The sequence below is a fragment of the Homo sapiens genome, chromosome 9 (genome assembly GCF_000001405.40).
Source record: "Homo sapiens chromosome 9, GRCh38.p14 Primary Assembly".
In the NCBI taxonomy this organism is placed as follows: domain Eukaryota; kingdom Metazoa; phylum Chordata; class Mammalia; order Primates; family Hominidae; genus Homo; species Homo sapiens.
The window spans coordinates 76025771-76046141 of NC_000009.12; the positions used below are offsets into that span (position 1 = coordinate 76025771).

The following is a 20371-nucleotide window of genomic DNA, read 5'->3' on the forward strand; positions in this document are numbered from 1 at the left end:
AGAAATTATGCCCATGTTTGAAGTAAGCATTCATTAAGTACTCAAATAACCAGAAGTGCTATAAAAATGTTCTACTATACTAAAATGAATGCCCCTCAGGAGTTCTAACCAAATTATGAAAAATAGCTCTAACTGAATTTTTAAAATACCAAAATAATTAATTTTAAAAATAGTAAAAAAAAAATAACTGGGTGTGATGGCACCTGCCTGTAGTCTCACCTACTCAGGAGCTGAGGCAGGAAGATTGCTTGAGCATAGGAGATACAGGGTATAGTGAGCCAAGCCGTGATCACACCACTGCCCTCCAGCCTGGGTGACAGAGGAAGACCCTGTTTCAATTAATCAATCAATCAAAGAAAATTGAAAGCATATTAAATTAGGCTGGCTACAGTGACATAAATTTGATCAATTGTAACTAGTAATTTTTTTTCAGTAATGCAGGTATTTTTCACAATCAGTTTTAAAAGCAAACAAGCAAATCCAACTTTGGTTCTGGAGATACTGTTTCCTCATTTTGAAATCTTAGTGTAGGAAAACTGTTCATTATTTTGGTTGGTCCAAAAGCCAATGGTTATTAGTAGAATGTCTAAATTATGGACTCCTTTATAGTAGATACAATACCTGGAACCAGACGAGGGTTGTCTAATAGCGGTCCCAAGATACCTGACATAATAAAGATCGAATATTGATTTTTAATTGGCTTGCCAATGATATGTGAATGATTTTTGTCTTCTGAAATCTATATATTATGATAAGGAAGTTGCAAGCTGAAGAAATCAAGTAAGGAGTAGGGAGAGAGTCTATGGAGAATAAATCACTTTGTGCCTAGGTAGTCAAGGTGTACCTCAGAGAAAAGGTAATAATGAGGATGTCTTTGAAAGATATACGTTTCATGAATTGGGTCATTCTAGGTATGAGGGGAAAAAGTGCTGGCAAGAATGAACCAGGCACTTGTTTGGTCTGTGTAGAGTTCTTCTTCACCTTAAGGGGGAAAAATATGGCACTAATTATCACTGAATGAGCACTGCCTCCCTAAGGCATCCTGACACCACTGAACCGTGAGGTGAGCGTATTAGTTAACCTAATTACTTTCTGGCAGAAATGTATTTAAAAATGCATGAGCCTGTGGGTCATTGGCTAATTAATGAATGTCCATTTCCTTTCCCTTGCTCTCTCCTCTGTGGCCATAGGATGCTCTGGCAAGTTGCGACGTGAATGGGAATGACTTGGACCCAATGCCTCGTTATGATGCAAGCAACGAGAACAAGTAAGGCCCAAGTGAGGGGTGGCTGGCATGTGGCTGGCAAGGAGCTTTGTTTTCTGCTCATACTGAGGGAAGTATTTTCTTCAAAATCCTTGATAACATATGATTGCTAATTTGCTCCAAGATTAACAAGTGTCTTTCCACTGAAGCCTCTGAGTAAGAAAAAAGGGGTGGTCCATATAGAAAGAATGGTTGCAGAGAGAGCCCTGGGGAATGGCTCAGCATTTCCAAATCTTGAGACTGGAACTAAGAGATGACCCCTCACGTGGTAATTGCCCTGTGAGCCATTTGTTTAGGGACAGGGGTGGTGAAGGGAGAGGCCAAGCAAAGTGCCTCCCAAAAGAATTATTTTGTTCTGTTAAATTCAACACATGATTGAATACTGCATTTGAGGTCCCTACCTGAGCATTTCTTTACTCCTCCTTCGCTCCTCTCTCCTCTGTAGTTATTGTGTTTTTCACTAATATACCTGAAATACCTAGAAGGATTATTGCCAACTGAAGAAGGCATTACCTTTCTTATTCCCCGCCCCCCGCCCAGGCAAGAGGCACAGAAACCCGGTTAACCACAATTATGCTTTCCGTTTACTACTGTGGTTTTTAGTGAATGCAAATCAACATTCACATCCATTTGATAACAGAATATTTTAACATTCCTCAGGCAAGTAAGAGAGAATGGGTTTTCTTGCTTACATAATGACCCAGATTCCTTACAATATTAGTAGACATTTCTAATCTCTAAATCACAGTAATTTTTTTCCCTTTTACTATGAAGCTCCTCAGGATAATGCTGTAATTTAGATACTTTCATTTGAATTTTTATTTACATGTTTTATTTACATAACATGCACTGAAGTTGCAAAGAGAACTGTTTAACCCATTTATTTTGTTATTTCTAATCTGCTTTTTTCTTTAGGGAAAAATTTCTCAACTAGGTTTATTTGATTAAGTCAGTAAGTTTAGATAAAACCATATGACCTAGAAAACTGTCACTGTACCTATGTGGTTTTTCTTTACTGTCTACAAAGAAAGCTTAACAAAATAACTGTAGAAACATGCTGTTGGTTGACATGAACAACCAAGTAAATCTTCTCGATCAGATTCAGTGGTGAAAGCATTAATACACAAATTGCTATAGGTAGAATTTTCCAGAACTTCCAAGCGAAAAGAGAGACCTACATTAAACTGGATAGTTTTCTTTCAGACTTACTGTAACTGCCCAGTGGGTTCACCTTGCCTGCTGCCTAGACAGAGCCATTTTACCAAGACAGGGGAACTGCAATGGAGAAAGAGTAATTCACACAGATCTGCCTGTGCTGGAGACCAGAGTTTTATTATTGCTCAAATCAGCCTCCCCAGACATATGGAGATCAGAGTTTTTAAAGATAATTTGGTGGGTAGCGACTTAGGAAGTGGGGAGTGCTGATTGGTCAGGCTGGAGATGGAATCATAGGGGGCTGAAGTGAGGTTTTCTTGCCATCTTCTGTTCCTGGGTGGGATGGCAGAAATGGTTGAGCCAGATTACCGGTCTGGGTGGTGTCAGCTGATCCGTCGAGTGCAGGTTCTGCAAATACCTCAAGCACTGATCTTAGGTTTTACAGCAGTGATGTTATCCCCAGGAGCAATTTGGGGAGTTCACACTCTCGGAGCCAGAGGCTGCATGACCCCTAAACTGTAATTTCTAATCTCATAGCTAATTGTTAGTCCTGCAACGGCAGACTGGTCCCCAGCCAAGAAGGGAGTCTTTTCAGGAGAGGGCTATTATCAGTTTTGTTTCAGGGTTAAACCATGAGCTGAATTTCTTCCCAAATTTAGTTTGGCCCACACCTAGGAATGAACGAGGACAGCTTAAAGGTTAGAAGCAAGATGGAGGAGTCGGTTGGGTCTGATCTCTTTCAGTGTCATAATTTTCTCAGTTATAATTTTTGCAAAGGTGATTCTAGTCCCTCCCCTTGGGTTTCATAACACCTTATTCTTAAAGTGCGGCCTATGAAGATGGGAAAAGGCTGTCGATCACTCTGGCTTCTTCCTGCTGTTGGGGGCAGGTGGGGTAGATGTTGACCCTAAGGTGAGAGGAGCTGAACCGCTTTGCTGCTGTCTGAGCTGTCTGACCATACTTAACGCAGGCCAGGCTGGGGTTCCGAGGCTTTCATGACAAAGATGTTAGTATTCTCATCTATAGTTTTAATATAGCGTTTAAGCAGACAGTGTACTATAAGGTAAATAATGAGTTTTAGGATAAGGAGTGCAATTCCCAGTTTTAAAAGTAAAGATTTGAAAGCATTAGTTTGGGGACTTACATACAGTCCACCAAAAATTTAGGATTTAGTTTAAATGGAAGAAAAATAAAAATAAAAACTCAAAAACAACTAACAACAGGTGTACTGTAGTTTTTGGAACATAATTTTTCTCTTTCCAGTCCTTATTTTTATTAAAACAAATCATGATAGGACTGATTTGTTTGCCAATAAACTTTAGTTTTATTATACTTGACCTGATTATTTGCTTAAGGTGCAGCAAGAATAATTATTTTTTACGTAGGCTTTTTAAATTGGCTTTGATGGAACTGCGTTCCATAAGGAATCTCAGATAAGACTTTTTTAAAGCCAAGCCCAGCCATGGGTTTGTACCCTCTAATACCTATGAGTTGGGTAAATTTCTCTCCTCTTGAGCTCCCAAGGTAACTTGGGGCTCCTAGGCCTGTCAGAAAGTGACAGTCTTCACTTAGCACAGGTCAGGAACCCTGTAGAGGAGGTACGTAGGCAAGGTTTGAGGCAAGTTTTCTTAAGGGGCTATTATTGACTTTACAAGTCAAGTTTGATTCCTTAAAGGAAAGCATGCCATTCCAGTCAAAGCCTTGGTAAAATAACCAGTTTCTTCAACTGTGTCCTGTTCAAAAGAAAACATTCTTATTGCACTTATGCAAACAATTATATTGCCATAAGTTAAGAATACTCAAAAAAAGTTTCTAAATTCTGGAGAAATTAGGTAGAGAGAAACAAATATGCTCTAAATTTTATTCACAGGAGTATACTTTATTCAATTGTTAAAAGCTGGAAATAGCTCAAAAGAAGTGTTTTTCTCTCTGAAAAACAAAAAGGATCAGCAATACTTTAAGCAAAAAAAAAAAAATCTAAAAAGTTTACTTCAGTTTTCTGTTATTTAAGTCCATTTAGTTAACTCCTGTTCTGCTGGATATTCATAAACATTTTAGCTCTCCATGAGAGTCCTGAAAGGTTTTTTTCCCTTTATTCTAATGTCATAATCTCCAAAGTTATCAGAAACTTGCATTCAAGAGCACCTGTTAAAGTTTTATAGCTGATTATAAAACCATCTAAAGAGGACCAAATCAAGATAACAATTATCTGTGGATGACAAAAATATTTTAGGGAAGCCACAGTCAAAGACACAATTGACAAGGAAATTTGTTACCTCTGTGACACACAATAATCCAACATAACAATTATAATTATTACTGATGACATGTATTGAGACATATCAGAATTATAGGAATCTTATACAATTTTATAACACATACTAATAACAAATTTATATGACTATAACCAAAAGAAAGTTAAAAACCTTTTTATATTCAACAATGTTTCCTGCATGATTTTAATACATTAAATAAGCCAAATATGTGTTGTAGTCTGTATTATAATACAGACTATATGTAAAGGCAATTCTTTGAATATTGGCTTTGATGGCTTTTTATAGACTATCCTTTTAAAACTGCTTTTTTTTTTCCTTAAGGATTTCTTTTAAACTTGGCCACTTCCCAAGACCCTTGTTCAAGAAGAATCATGACAGTCGTGCTCATCTGGGGTATTCTAGGGTGTCCTGCTTTGACCCATCCTAAGCACTGGCCATGGTTCATTGAGTGCAGTGGGGGATTGATTGTTGGAGGACACAGACATTGTTCCCAGTGTGTGCTTAGGTTTGCCATCCTGACGGTGAAATAGGGAATTTTCACAGGTGTAACACCAGCACTCCCTGCCTCTGTTTTATGGAAGTCAGCAGTGCCGAGGGTATAGATTTACCTTTAGCTCCTCTCAGTAGTTCTGCCTGATTTTTTTTCTCAGCTGACCAAGAGCATGTAGTCAGGCATTTAGGATTAAAATGCCCTCTTTGCTCATTAGACCATAATAATGGATATGATCAATGGATCTATCTTTAAGCATGAATCCACAGATAGATAACTCTGTTTGGATAGTGGCCACCTAGAGTTAGGAAATGAGTAGCTTTGTAGTTTAGAGAAGTTGACTTTTAGCCTTGGCTCTCCTTGATTATCTTTATGGTCTTTTGAGCTAACAACTGAGCTTTCAGTACTTTCTAAAAAGTCTCTAGAATGGGCATAATAATACTTCCCTCTAGGCTGGGCACAGTGACTCACACCTGTATCCCAGTACTTTGGGAGGCCAAGGCTGGAGGATCACTTGAGTCCAGGAGATTGAGACCAGCCTGGGAAACATAGGGAGACCCTGTTTCTACTAAATACATAAATAAATAGCCAGGTGTGGTGGCATGCACCTGTGGTCCCAGAAACTTGGGAGGCTGAGATAGAAGGATTGCTTTAGCCTAGGAGGTCAAGGTTGCAGTGAGCCAAGATTGTGCCACTGCACTCCAGCCTGGGCGAAAGAGCGAGACCCTGTCTCAAAAAATAATAATAATAAAATACCTCTAAAGATTATCAATAAAATGTGTAAAATACCAAGCTTACTACATAATAGATGCTACATAATTACAGTTGTTATTATTATAATTGTGTGTTCTATTCATATATCTAATTCTTGATAAATAACTAGTTAAAAATTACAGTTATCTCAAAATATGTGTGCCTATGAACACTTCAAATTTAAATTAAGACTTGGGGTTTATTTCCGGAGTTAGAAGTTGAGATAGGTTTGTCTGCGTCCTTGGGGGACTTAAGGTTTATTTCCAGGGTTAGAAGTTGAGATAGGTTTGTCTGCTTCCTTGGGGCTGGGAGCTGTGGCTCTTTTCCGTCTACAGTAAATCTGCTTTTCTTTAATTCCATTTTCCCATCTCCCTTAGTAGAGCATGAGTCCTTGAATTTGATATAAAATAGTGAAGGTGAGGAATTTGTAATTATCATCAGAATAAGGAAGTTGAGGCATGTGCTATGCAAATGCCTCCTCACTGAACAATCAGACCAGTAGGCTTCAGAACATATTTGGAATTATGTCATACTTGCCTGCGTTTGTTTATTCATTCAAGCAGTATTCATTAAGACGCTGCTTGGCGAGTGGCTCTGTGCTAAATACCTGGGGAATCAATGATGAAATAGTATAGATTATTAATGGGCTGAATTGGGAGAAAATTTAGTAAGAAACTCTAATGCCTGAAGGGTTTTTAGTACTAACAGAGGATCTAGCCTCAAAACTATGCAAATCATCTCTTAGACTTGCATGATTACATTTCTAGTGCCAAGGCTTTGGAGTGAAGGAAATCACCTCTGAAGTACAAAAGTTATAAAAATCCCTTTCTCGTCACTTTTGCAAGTTCCCAAATGGTGGTATGTCAGACTTAAATAACTGATGCTAAAGAAATAGCGTGATTAGAGGAGATCATAAAAACCCATCCTTCGATTCAGCTTTGCCTCCATTCATATTAGCTTGCCAAATAAAGCTGACTGCATTGTTCTAGGCTTAAAATAGAAAATGCCTCCCTGCAAATGAAACAGTCTGCTAGCATTTCATACTACTACTCCTATTTCCAATAAAATGAATTATTGATGTCTGAGTTATATCAGCCCCTCCCTAGGTTACTTCCTTTTAGAAGTTCTCTGCTTAAAAGTCACAGCAACATTTAGCAGGAGTTGAAACCACAGCATTATATTTTGAACGAGCGGTATGTGGGCCCAGAGTCTAATTCCTTTTCAAAATAAACCAACCTCTGGGTTAAAGACTTGTTTTCTAAAAGGAATAGATTTTTCATGTTGTTTCTTATCTCTGATTCAAGGAAGCTTTAACCAGGGTGAATGGAAGTGAATTTCGTCTAGTTCTTTAGTTTCTTGTCACACATCATTTCTGGTTTTACGAATGTTGCCATGTTGCAGAAACCAAAATGTGTCCTTCCCTTTCCCATTTCTGTAGACAAGGACTGTTGTGAGGAGATAGTGTTCCAAAGCAACCAAAAGATATAGTCAGCATTTTCCGCATATAGGGGAAATATGTTAACTTATTATAATAGTACTAGAGGAAAAAAACACACTGTAAGTCTGTGGCCTTAACACGTACAAACATTTTTTCTTTGTACCAAGGATTTGGCCAAATATGTTAAGATAAAGTTTTCCTATAGCTTAGTAGGTCAGACAAAACTTAACGAAGAAAATGAGGGTCAATATCAGAGGCTGATTTGATTTTCAAATATTTTCAAATTTTTTTCTCTAATACTTTTGCAAAATAACATCTACAGTATACTACATAGTAGATACTTGATCAATGATTATCAAATGAATTTACATAACGTGGACTACAAGTGTACATGTACATTACTAGAGGCTTAATGTATACCAAACATGCAATTGTGGAAAAAAAAAAAATCTGACACTTTCCATATACAGCTGTCTTAGTTCAGGCTGCTATCACAAAATAACTTAGACTGGGTAATTTATAAGTAATAGAAATGTAATGCTCAGTTCTGGAACCTGGGATCGAGGCACCAGCCATTTTGTTGTCTGCTGGGGGCTCAATCCTCATGAGATGGTGCCTTCTTGCTGTGTCCTCACATGGTAGAAGGGACAAACAAGCCCCTCAGGCCTCTTTAAAAGGGCACTAATCCCATTCACTAGGGCTCCACCTTCACAACCTAGTCACCACCGCCCAAAGCCCCACCTCTTAACACCAACATGTTAGGGATTAGAGTTTGACACATGAATTTTGGAGGGACACAAACATTCAGATCATAGTAACAGCCATAGATTTTATATTCATGAAAGAACCTACAGCAAATATTTTAGAAAATTCATTTCTATACATACAGGTTCACGATGCATTACACTGAAGTAAGTAACATCTTTGATCATTGTGTAGGTTCTGGGAAGTGGCCTCCCACGGAAAATTGCGGTGTAATAGGAAAAGCCTTCTTTCACCCCAGAAGCCAGCCATCCCTTCCCCTTCATCTCAACAACTGTTAGTCAGCAAGTCCTGACAATTCATACCAATTAATTCCTCCTCTGTAGTAGCTCTCAAAAGCCTTAGACACAAACCCCCAGCCACCCACAGTAGCCACTATGTTTATTCCCCTTCTCTTACCTATACCCTTGTTAAGAGTCTTATTAAATCGTTTCCTTGTTTCTGGTCTTCCCCTATCCTGCTCCCTGAGTGATATTTCTGAACCAAAATAAGAACATTAAAATCCTTTACTATCTTGACATATGTTAAAAATACAAGACTCTTCAGGACCCATTCCCTTCCTTATTATCGAGTCTATTCTACTCTATGTATCCCCTCCTCTTCTTCCTCCTCCTCCATTCGTCAGGATTTGTGTCATTCCTCTAATGTGCTCCAACTGTTCACCCTTCCACCATCTACACTTGGAGAATTCCTCCTTCACCTCCCACGCATGTCACTTTCTAGTGATGCCTTCTCTCATCCCGCATGGTATGAGCTGGTTATCCCTCCAATCAGTTTCACAGCACCTGTGAACTTATTAATTCTTTTATAAAACTTTTTTAAAATCCTAGATGGGGTCACATTTGCCAGAGTAGGAAATAGAAAGGCAAGAACATATACTAAGTTGATTTTCAGTTTAGTTCGGGATATAAAATATCCATTTGTTCTTTCTTAGAATAATTACAAGAGTACTGACCTTGATTGGTTCATCTAGATGAGTGAGCAAAATGTGTCCGAATTGAAGTTGCTGACCGATTAAATGGTGTTATATACAGTGGGCCTTTGTGCTAGATATCTTTTTTTCTGACCTTCCATTTCTGCTCTGTATCCCAGAAGGCTGACTTTGAGGGGCTGCATTAATTGTCTGTCTTGCCCTCTGGCTTCCCATTGGGTTTGGGAAGTCAGTTGACTAAATTCAAGTCAATAAATTCAAGCCCCTCGAATAAATTCTTCTCAGGTTATCTATTATAAAACAGCCCAGTGTTTCCTGATAGGCACTTGACTGACACAAGTATGTTTGTTCTTTAGCCTGGTATCTTTGGTAGAATAAAAGGGAAAATGTTTAAATACCTCTGAGAATAAACTAAATTCATGGCAATTGTCTAAATACCTGTTTATTCTTTAATGAAAGCCAAGTAAATATAGAAAATGATTATCTAACCTCGAATTCCTATATACCTGTTACCTGCAGTGTAAATATTCATCTTTGTAAAACAATGCATTAATTATTCCCAGGCTCGTAATCATGATGATGCAGCCTTCAGAACTCCTTGTTTTTCTCTGCCAATTTTAGTATGTTCTTCTCTGGATTTGGGGACTTCAGTTTTGATAAAGGGTCTGATTGATGTTATAGGTTCAAATGAGGTATGAGTGTAATTTGTGCTAACTTGGTGTATTATTGACATGAATAATTGATAGTTGCTTGAATTTAAATTTCTTATTTAAGAAACAGACTCACAAATTCCTGGGGCCTTTACAGCAGATGGAAATCGCAGTAAAGGAAACACATAAGTATCCTTTTTAAATAATGGATTAAGCATTTAAACAGGTTTTCAAGACAGGTGTATTTAATTAGCTTTCTCTTTTAATCTTCCCTTTTAACCTTCTCTTGCATCCTTATATTTTCTTGTTTCCTTATGTTTAGAAATATGTAAGAGGTAGAGACTGAGGCCCTTGAGAGGTCAGCAATAGCAGTTTTTTTCTTTATTTCATTACTAAACATTGGAGAAGACATCCAAGAACTTTCAAATCTCATCAGCCAGTGAACACTCAGGTTAGTTGCTGAACAAGGAGGAAAGAAAAGCCCTTATTTTATTTTTTTTTCACTCCCTATACAGCTACCAGAAGAGCATGCTGAAAAAAATAAATAAAACCTCAAGCTTATAGATTATTCATTTTAACATTACCAAAATATTGTTTAGATATTGGTTACCCTGCTATTCATATCATACAGCTTCTGAGTTAAAGAACTAAAGTTAGAATTTTATTTTTGTAAGCTAAAGGAAAGGTTATAATTTTTGTATTCTAGCAATTTAGTTAATTACAATGCAAGCTTTCTAGTCCAGTGTATTTAAGTATTTGTGTATGTGTATTTAATACCAATGATAGGTATGCATTTTAACTATAATCCTTAATAAAAGGTGAATAACACTGGGTCTGTAGGCTATTTAAATAAAAGTGGAAAGGAAGAAAGTATGTTCTTTAGATTACAACACATTTGATTCTCATAAAATCGTTCACCAAAGAAGGCAGGGGGATAGAGTAAAAAATATTCTGCTTTTAGAGGAGACCTAGGTACCAGCCCCAGCCTTTTTATTGACTATGTCTGTGACGTTGGAGAAGCATTCTTCTCAGAACCTTCCTCACCACGTCAGTTTCTCCATGTTCCTGTTTCAATTAAACAACCAAAACACCTACAAATGTCTGGGGTTGCTATTTGACTCTATTTGAGTGCAATGTAAACAACTGCTAATAAAATTAGTACATCTGCATGTTGTCTCATTTACTACTCACAACAACCCACATTCAGAGAGAAGTCTAGAGAGGGTAAATAATGTGCCTAACGTCACTGAATGGCGGAATCGGAATTTGAGCTTGTTTGTTCTCACACTGTCTGATTACCTGCATAACTAAATTAATTGGTGGTCAAGTAGATGAGTAGATGAGAAATCAATTCTTGTGCGGAGCACAAGCTTCAGTAAGTTTACTATCAACAGAGAACTAGAATCACCAGAATTTACAGCATTGTGTTCAGTAAACACTTAATAACTTGGCTGTACCAAGTGCTGGTACTCAGGTCCCTGTTTCTCCAGAGAGAAGGGGTTGGTCTGCATAGTTTGCTAATACCATGTGTATGTGTAACTTCGAACAAGTAACAAAGATTATATTTTACAGTAAATGATTATATAAATTTGACTCCACAGTGGTATTCATTTTGTGGAAGTAAATGAAGGCCACCCAAATGAGACAAGACACTGTTCAGAGCTTGGAATAGCAAGGAGTCAGCCACCATCGCTTGCAGAGACTCCAAAGCAGACACAAGACTGGGAAAGCTTTGTAGTGAGGGGAAAAAAGCCAAACAAAGGAAAGGGAAAACTTCACATTTGGTCTGTTGGAGAATGTCTCAGAGAAGCTGGAGCTTGGATCTCTTTGTTCTCAAACAGTTCTACTTACATGTATTGACAAGTTTGTTTGTTTGTTTGTTTAATTAAACTTGAATGAGTTCCAGCTGGTCATACTATAAACAAAAGGTTTTTGGAGACTATATAAAAGTACCACAGGTACAGATGTTGTTAATATTATTACAGGTGACAGTAAGTAAAGATAAGGTTTTAGTCTAATTCTCAGAGGGCAAGTGGTTAGTTTTCACATTTCTCTATTTGGGGATATGGATTCTTTGAGGTTGGAATCACATAAAGTAAAAGACACTTTTCCAATGTTTTTGCACTTAAGCGACAACCTTTGTGAGTCCCTCTGGAAATGTGGGCTGTGGAAGAAAGATACTCTGTAGGAGGAAAAGACTGAGCCAAAGAAGAGCCTGTGAAAATCAGAAACCTCCTCTTACCCTAAGGAGGGGATGGGATAGTGAGGTTGTGTCGTACGTGGGGAATTGTGGTGAATTTTCTTGCCTATACAACACCTAAAATAGCTCCAAGGAATTGAGAAGAGCAGTAGAGTACCTGGAGAATCCCCGCCAATTCTCCTGCATCCCCTCCTTCTCCACTCTCAGGCGAAGCTGCCATCTCATGAATTTTAGAAAAGAGTGACCTTTGTTAAGAGTTTACCACTTCCTATTTTTAGATATCCACGCACCAGCTGCATGTAATTTGCGTATGCTAGTAAATGCATTTGAATTTGCATGAATTGCAGATAAAATCCCTTGTGGTGACATCCTGAGCTGAGATGAGCTGACTGCTAACATTTTTGTATGACCTTTTTGCTCTTGGTTGGTATTCCCTCCTTCTGAGGTTCATTCTCAAAGGATCACACCCCCTCCCATGCCTGTCCCAATTACCATATATAGACTCTCATTTTCTCTCCAACCCTTCCGCCCCGACAAGTATCAGGTTGTCACATATCCTTTTCTTTTTCCACTATCCTGATACCTTGATCTTCCCATAGGCTCTAGTATTATGTTGTTATTCCGCAGAGAAAGAGGGACACGTTTGTCTCTAGCAGTTGCCTCGGTCTTGGGACCCGTTCATTTTAGTTTATGCTAGGTGATTTGATTTGAATTCACACTGGTCAGCAGTCTTAATTGTGACCTGTGTTGTTAATTTTATTGAATGTCATACTCTTTCATAAAATTTTTTATTTTTCCTAAAGAATGACAAATCCCTTTAATGTTTTCCAAAGGAGTGGGAAATAGGTGTTGTTATACTTGAAACAAAAGCACTTGATTGTTTTCTTCTCTTATCCACCCATCTCGTGTATCACATAAGAAGTAATGGGATAGGTTGGGCAGTGGAGCATCCAAGGGGAACTGCAGTTGGAATTGAAGAGATCAAAGAGTTGGGATACTTGGCTTTGTTGAAATGTAATTCGTAAAGAGGGAAGGGAAATCCCCAAAGTCAGGAACAATCTTAGATGCAGCTCCATTGACAACCATGTATTCACTTTGTCACCCATACACTGAATGACACCATTCCTGGGACAATAGGAGCCCCATCATTTTGACTTTTTTCCAATGCGGAGATGCCACAGCAACTGGGGTTTAATTCTTCCATAGGTTGATTTTTATATCAAATTGTTCAACCAACCTTCCTGCAGGGAGAAATACTAGTGGCATTGTTTTAGTAGAACCACATTCCACAACATGGAGCGCGGGAACAATACCAATTTCACTGTTACATTTGTAGGTGTGTTCATATTTGTTGAAATCTTTGTAGCCCAAATGCAAATATGAGGAGGTATTTCGGTAAGCAATTGCAAATTATATTTCTGTTCTTGTATATTTCATGTTTTCAGATACTGTTTTTACATCAGTTCATTCCACTTATGTTCGTCCCATATTCTCATTGTGTTTTTATAAGCTTCAGTTAGAATCCGCACTGTAAAACTTATTTCAATTATAGGATATACTAACACAGGTTTAATGCATCCCGGTTGAAACAAACAAACAAAAATACCCAGAACTTCTTTATATCTGTGATATCACTTTTCCCCCCTTGTCTTTGGTTAGGGAGATGTCATACTAACAAAATACTTTGTTAAGGATGGTACCCATATCTTAAATTCACAAAATGTTTTTCTTAAAAAATTTATAGGTTTCTCAAATACATTTGGATAGTACATACTCATAGATTTCCAAGACAGGTATTTGGAGGGAAACAGAAAAATGTGTATGAGGAAGGGAGGCCCAAGTAACTGCTAGGTAAATTGTTTAATAAAATTTAATAATTCTGTTATATGCTAAGAGAATGTACTAAGCAATAACCTATAAAAGCATGCCTATGCTGATCCATGGACAAACACTACATGTTTGTACTTGAAAAGTTATTGTTATGTTGTTACAATGATTTTAAAAATGCAATACACAAGAACTGCTTCTTTGGTCTTCCTGTGAGCCGTTCTACAGCTTTGAGAAGCTTGGTATATGATTTGGGTGGGCAAGTGAAGAATAATTTTGTCTTCCAAAAAAACTTTGGCTGCTTTTGCCTTGGGCTATAAACTCAGTAAAGACTAAATAGAGTTCAGCAGGGTCATTATGTGTTTCTCATGACAGAATGAGAAAAAAGAGCAAATCTCAGGTTCCCTCGAATGGCATTAGCGCCTCCAAGCTCTCTGGGATCTCACCTTGTCAAGCAAGGAGGAGCCATCAACTAAAAATAATAATTTATCTAGAGTTTTACAGTTCACAAAGTACTTTTACATTTATGCCCACATCACTTGTAAACATTCATGTCAGATAGGTAGGGTAGATTTTTGTTTTTGTCCCCCAGTTTCTGAATTCTTTTTTACGTATAAGGAATCTTCTGTCTTAAGAGTCTTGGTTGAGGACAAAGACTGCTCGGTAGTATGGCAGCTGAAAACGGTTAACACTCCTCACTTCATGTACTCTAGGGCACAGGCCATGTGATCCAGATTGTAAAAATCAATTGCACCTGCTATTAAGAGCATAAGCCAAGTAAGGTCTCACTCCCTTAGATGTGTTCTCTGTCTCTCTCTCTCTCTCTCTCTCTCTCTCTCTCTCTCTCTCTCTCTCTCTCTCTCTCTCTGTCTCTCTCTCTCTCTCTCTCTCTCTCTCAACAGGTCTTTCCTCATAGATCAGCTGTGTCTTTTTATTGATCCTTAGCTTCCACCCTGGTTAATCAGTGCTCCCAACAATTCCGAGCTTCCCAAGATCCCTTTAACAAACTACTTTTCTGCTTAACTCAGTCAGTTACAGCAAAGAACCAGAGATTAAATGTCATTACCAGTGCCCCCTTTTTGCAGAGGAAGAAAGTAAAATTGAAGGCAGGCTCTCACATAGCTTATGAAAGTGAGTCTGGCCTCCAAACCCATGTTCCTTGTATCATAATACACTCTAATTTGGAGCAGGACCCTAGATGCTTTTTCTGAACATAGTGTTTATAAGCAATAAACAATGTTTAATTCATGGAAACAATTGTAGTTAATTTATGAGAATTTAGTGTTTATTTTATGGCATATCATTTCATTTAGAAAGGATTTCTGAATACCTAGTAGAAACATAGCAGTGTTTTGGTTATTCATTAAAAATCTACTAGTGATATACTTACAGTATGTAGAAATTTAGTATTGATCCATCACTTAACTAACACAGTGCAGTTAAAACAAACCACTAGGCAGGATGTGATTTGGAGACCATCAGTTTTCCAAAAGCATTTCATGGAACCCTGGAGTCTGCTGATGGATCTCACAGGCTGTCCAAATGTGGCTCAAGAGGTTGTGTGGATGGGTGTAGCTCTCTCTTCCTCAAACAAACCAAAATCTATTTTAAAATCTTATTTACGTGGTAGAATTTCTCTTAGAATTATATTTGAAGTAAAAAGTTCTTTTTATGTAAAATAAAATACACAATTGTAAACTAGGGCCATAAACCATAGGAATAGGATTTAGAGAAGTTACTACTGTAGGTTAAATTCAGAGAAGACTTCTGGAGGCAATAGTATTTCACCTGAGTCTTGGAAAATGACTGACCAAAGAGAACAACCATTCATGAGATGACTTTTGTAATGACTGACAGTGCCCTGGTATTAGTGAGCTCCTTGCAAGCTTTGGAACAAAAGGCATCCTCTTGTTAAGCCAGACATTTCTTATTTTCCCTGGAGCTTCTCCTTTATCTAAAACTTAAATCTGAATGTGTTTTGCCTCTGTCTTCAAACCCCTTATGACTATGTCCAAACTCTTTAAATGTATGTAAAGAATTTATGGCCAGGTGCGGTGGCTCACACCTGTAATTCCAGCACTTTGGGAGGCCAAGGCGGGCGGATCACGAGGTCAAGAGATCAAGACAATCCTGGCCAATATGGTGAAACCCCGTCTCTACTAAAAATACAAAAATTAGCCAGGTGTGGTGGCTGTGCCTGTAGTCCCAGCTACTCAGGAGGCTGAGGCAGGAGAATCACTTGAACTGAGGAGGCAGAGGTTGCAGTGAGCCCAGATTGTACCATTACACCCCAGTCTGGGTGACAGAGCAAGACTCTGTCTCAAGGGAAAAAAAAAAAAAAAAGATTTTATAATGTGTTCACTGTCTTTTTAGCCTCACCCCTTAACCCTTTCTACAATATGCTGTGGTTTTAACTAATGTTTTTTACAGTCATCTGAAAATAGCATACCTTATTCAATACTAGAGACTGATGAATAGTAGATACTCAATAAGTGGTCATGTTGTTATTCTACAGTGCTTGGAGATCCTTATATATAGGGTGTTACCTTGTGTATTACGATTAATTCTAATTTAACCTAGTTGGAAGCTGAGTTTTGCTACATCCCTGCCCTGTGGCAAGATCATTGCCCCCTTTTCACTTCTTGAGCAAATAAAGGGAAAGAAAAAACACCATGAAATGCAAAATATTCAAGTTTTATGGATAAAAAACCTAAAACAAGTGGCAGAAATAAGTTTTAAATGAACTTTAGTCTTATTCTGATATTCCAAACTTTTGTGTAAAAGCGTACTAACTGCCATTTTTGTCTTTTGTTTCTATTTCTCTTAAATGACTTCAACTAAAAGTTTCAGGCCAGGCACCATGGTGGCTCACGCCTGTAATCCCAGCACTTTGTGAGATCAAGATAGGCAGATCACTTGAAGTCAGGAGTTCAAGACCAGCCTGGCCAACATGGTGAACGAAATCCCATTTCTACTAAAAATACAAAAATTAGCTGGGCACATTGGCATGTGCCTGTAATCCCAGCTACTAGGGGGGGCTGAGGTGGGAGAATAGCTTGAACCTGGGAGGTGGAGGTTGCAGTGAGCTGAGATCACGCCACGGCATGCCAGCCTGGGTCACAGAGTAAGACTCTTTGTTAAAAAACCTAAAAGTTTCAGCAAAGGGAAAAAACTTTACTATAGACTGAATATTTGTTGCCTGAGGAAGTATTTTCCCTTAGCTAGAAATAAGAAGCACTCCACTCCCACCAAATCTCCAACTTACTTATGTACAAACTTACATAAAGTATTAGCACAATCACATAGTGATGTTCCTTGAGATGTTTTTAATGAACGTGCATCGCAACAGCCTGTAATTCCTTCCCATGAAGTGCCTCCTCAAAGGGGACAGTGATGACAGCTTTACTGTTATCACTGTGGGTTGGACTGTAGCATTAGTGAGATGAAGAGTTTGAGGTTTTAATCCCAACCAATCTGCCAAGATTTTCCATTGCTAAAGGATTGGCAGACTAGGAAGGGATCAAAGATGGTAAAGAAATGTACTTTCAGGCCAGGCGCCGTCGCTCACGCCTGTAATCCCAGCACTTTGGGAGGCCGAGGCGGGCGGATCACAGGGTCAGGAGATTGAGACCATCCTGGCTAACACGGTGAAACCCCGTCTCTACTAAAAATACAAAAAATTACCGGGCGTGGTGGCGGGCGCCTGTAGTCCCAGAGGCTGAGGCAGGAGAATGGCGTGTACCCGGGAGGTGGAGCTTGCAGTGAGCCGAGATTGCACCACTGTGCTCCAGCCTGGGCGACAGAGCGAGACTCCATCTCAAAAAAAAAAAAAAAAAAAAAAGTATTTTCGAGGTATTTACAGATATTAAAAGGCAGGCTTCCATTTAGACTCTGAAAAAAAGACTGCAATTTTCATGGAAAGAAAATGTTGCAAGTTACCTGGGGCTGTTTTCATTAACACTGACTAATTCTTATTCTTAGGCCTCTGAAAGGAAATTATGAATTAACCTTTGATTTGGAGGTTTTTGTTTTTCTTTCAGATGTCACGTGCTGGCCTTGCTTATAGGAGGTAAATAAGTGGTATAAGCTTTACAAAATGTGTTCACTAAGAAATTTTAGAATGAAAAAATGAAAATGGGCCATGCACATATAATTATTGATTAATAAAACTTTTTATTTTATGTATGTATTTATTTTGAGTCCGAGTTACGAGACTGGCTAATTTTTGTATTTTTGGTAGAGACAGTGCTTCACCATGTTGCCTAGGCTGGTCTTGAACTCCTGGGCTCAAGCAATCCACCGGTCTCATTCTCCCAAAGTGCTTGAATTACAGGTGTGAGCCACTGTGCCCAGCCTGATTAATAAAACTTGTGAAATAATTCCTTGAGATTTGAATTTTAGCCAAAATCAGTCAGTCTTTCTCTCTTTCTCTCTCTATGTCCCATCACACACATGTACCCCTAACTAATTATAATTAGGGACAGTTTTTTTTAAATAAAAAAGGGTGGCTTGAAAAATGTTACCAACTTTCTTATTACATTCTTATGTATTAACCATATAAATGTTAATAAATATAAATGTTGGTCTTAAAAATTAAGGTTAAGCCTCTTAAATAGCATAAGCAGAAATAAGGAAACAAATCAGATATAATTAGACCAACGTAAGGAACAACTTCAGATGTAGAATTTGGCTATAATTTTAACAACTTGAGATTTTAAAAATCAGGAATATGAATAGTAAATGAGTTGGCATGTATTCATGGTAGTATTTGAAGTCAGACATTTCCATACTGATTTATGTTTTACTAATATGAGGAGATTAGAATTAATGAGATGGGAAGTAAATGTGATGATATTTTTGAATTGGGGTTACAAGCTAGAAACATGAAAGTGTGCCTGTGCAGGACGATCGTGAAAGTCTGATATTGGGAAAGAAGCTCAAAGGTTGTAGGAATAACTTAGGGTAAGTCTTATTACCACTGGGAGACTTAATTATCTTCTGTGTGTAAAACAGTGGGGGAAATAAAAGCTACCAGCAGTTTTCTGTGAGCATTACAGATCATGCATTCTGAATGTTTGGAATGCTGTACGCAGTGCAACCCTTTTGTAATAACTTTTGGTATTAGAGCTAATTTAGAGATTTTGGTCATCAGGAAAGCCTAGTAATAGCCTAGTAAGAGAGCTCCAAGTTAAATGAATTATTGACATTTTTTCATCCTGTTACTCCTTTGTGGGAAATTATTGGGATGTTTGTATTTTAAGTGTGCAAATAGTCAAAGTAATACTTGAATTTTTATTTATTTTTTTGTGAAGGGGACTATTCAAATTCTCTTGGAAAGGCTGAATGGTTTTAAGAGCTATGAAGACTATTTCTGCTTTGTAATAATTGGTCATTTAAATAGTCTATTTAAAGTCTGATTTTCATGGTAGAGTTCCAAAAAATTGAATACTCCTCCAAATCTTCTCGCAAAAACAGATCACAGTCTATTCCTTCTCTGAAAATCACCATGTTTCTTTCCTCATACATTTGCTAAGAGGATGTAGAAGAGGAACATGATAATACATTTTGAATGGATTTCTTGGCTTTGGAATTTTCCCATTTTCAAATGTAAGTTATTTATTGGATTTATAACAATTTGTCCTTCAGTGAATGATCAGAAAACCTCACTAGAATACAGTAATTATCGTGATTATGAAGAAGAGTTGCAACAATAAAGCAGCAGTGAATTATTTATCCACACAGACATCTCTGTGTGTTTTCGGAGATTAGACTATGCTCTTCATCCTGATGCAAGAGAAAAGTTTTAAAACAGTGATTATTTCAACATTCTTATTCAAAAATTTGATCTACCTTGTTTTCACCAGTTGGTGATTGGTTTCCATGGAAATGGAAATGGAATAAGCATTCCTCCTTTTAGATTCTCAGCTACCCCATGCCAACTGAGAGCTGTAAATGCCATTTGGTTAACAGCAAGGATTCAGAATTCTTCGATTTTAAAGTGGCAGAGGGAGAGGAAAAGAAAAGTTTTGCCAAGTCATTTCACTTTTCTCCCTTTGAAAAGGACACAGTTTTATGATTGTCTGAGCTATTGACAGATGACTGTCAGATGAAACAAAGTCCAACAATGTCTCTTGACTAATCAATTTAAATCTCTTTTCTACCCTTCACAAAGTTCTTTAACTCATTGTGATTTATTAATAAATTAATAACTGACTTGTTATGGTCTTCCTGGTTCTCTACCTGCTATCCCTATGGTGGGCACTGAAGTGATTTAGATGTTGGGAGGAGATGATTTGGTGATCTCAGTGATCTGTAACCTAAGGGAATGATAATCTGTTGATAAAGGGTGTGGCGGGAGTGGTAGAGAGACTGGGGTTGGCAAATTCTCACTTCTGAGAGATTGTTAGTTAATTTGCCATAAGGGTTTTCCATTTCTGCAATTATTGTTCATAACTACTACATTTTCCCAAACTATTCCATAGGAAGGAGAATGAAGAATATTATAAATAAATGCTTTAGCATACAGTGGTTAAGCATTAATATAGTTGTTTTCTTTTGTCTTGTTTTATGACTCTGGACAGATGAATCAATATGAATGTTCAAATACTAACTTTAGTAGCATTAA

General features: G+C 37.9%; 1 protein-coding gene across 8 annotated transcripts in view; it reads left to right on the forward strand.

The window, feature by feature from the left end:
- PCSK5 (proprotein convertase subtilisin/kexin type 5) overlaps positions 1-20371 on the forward strand; it is a 473167-nt gene that overhangs the window by 135962 nt on the left and 316834 nt on the right. For all 8 annotated transcript variants that reach the window (NR_120409.2, XM_047423454.1, NM_001372043.1 and 5 more), the window contains exon 5: positions 1191-1267. Coding sequence is in view for 7 of the 8 variants with exons in the window: in XM_047423454.1 (XP_047279410.1) it covers positions 1191-1267 (77 nt within the window). In the remaining variant the exon portion in view is untranslated. The remainder of the gene's footprint in view (positions 1-1190; positions 1268-20371) is intronic.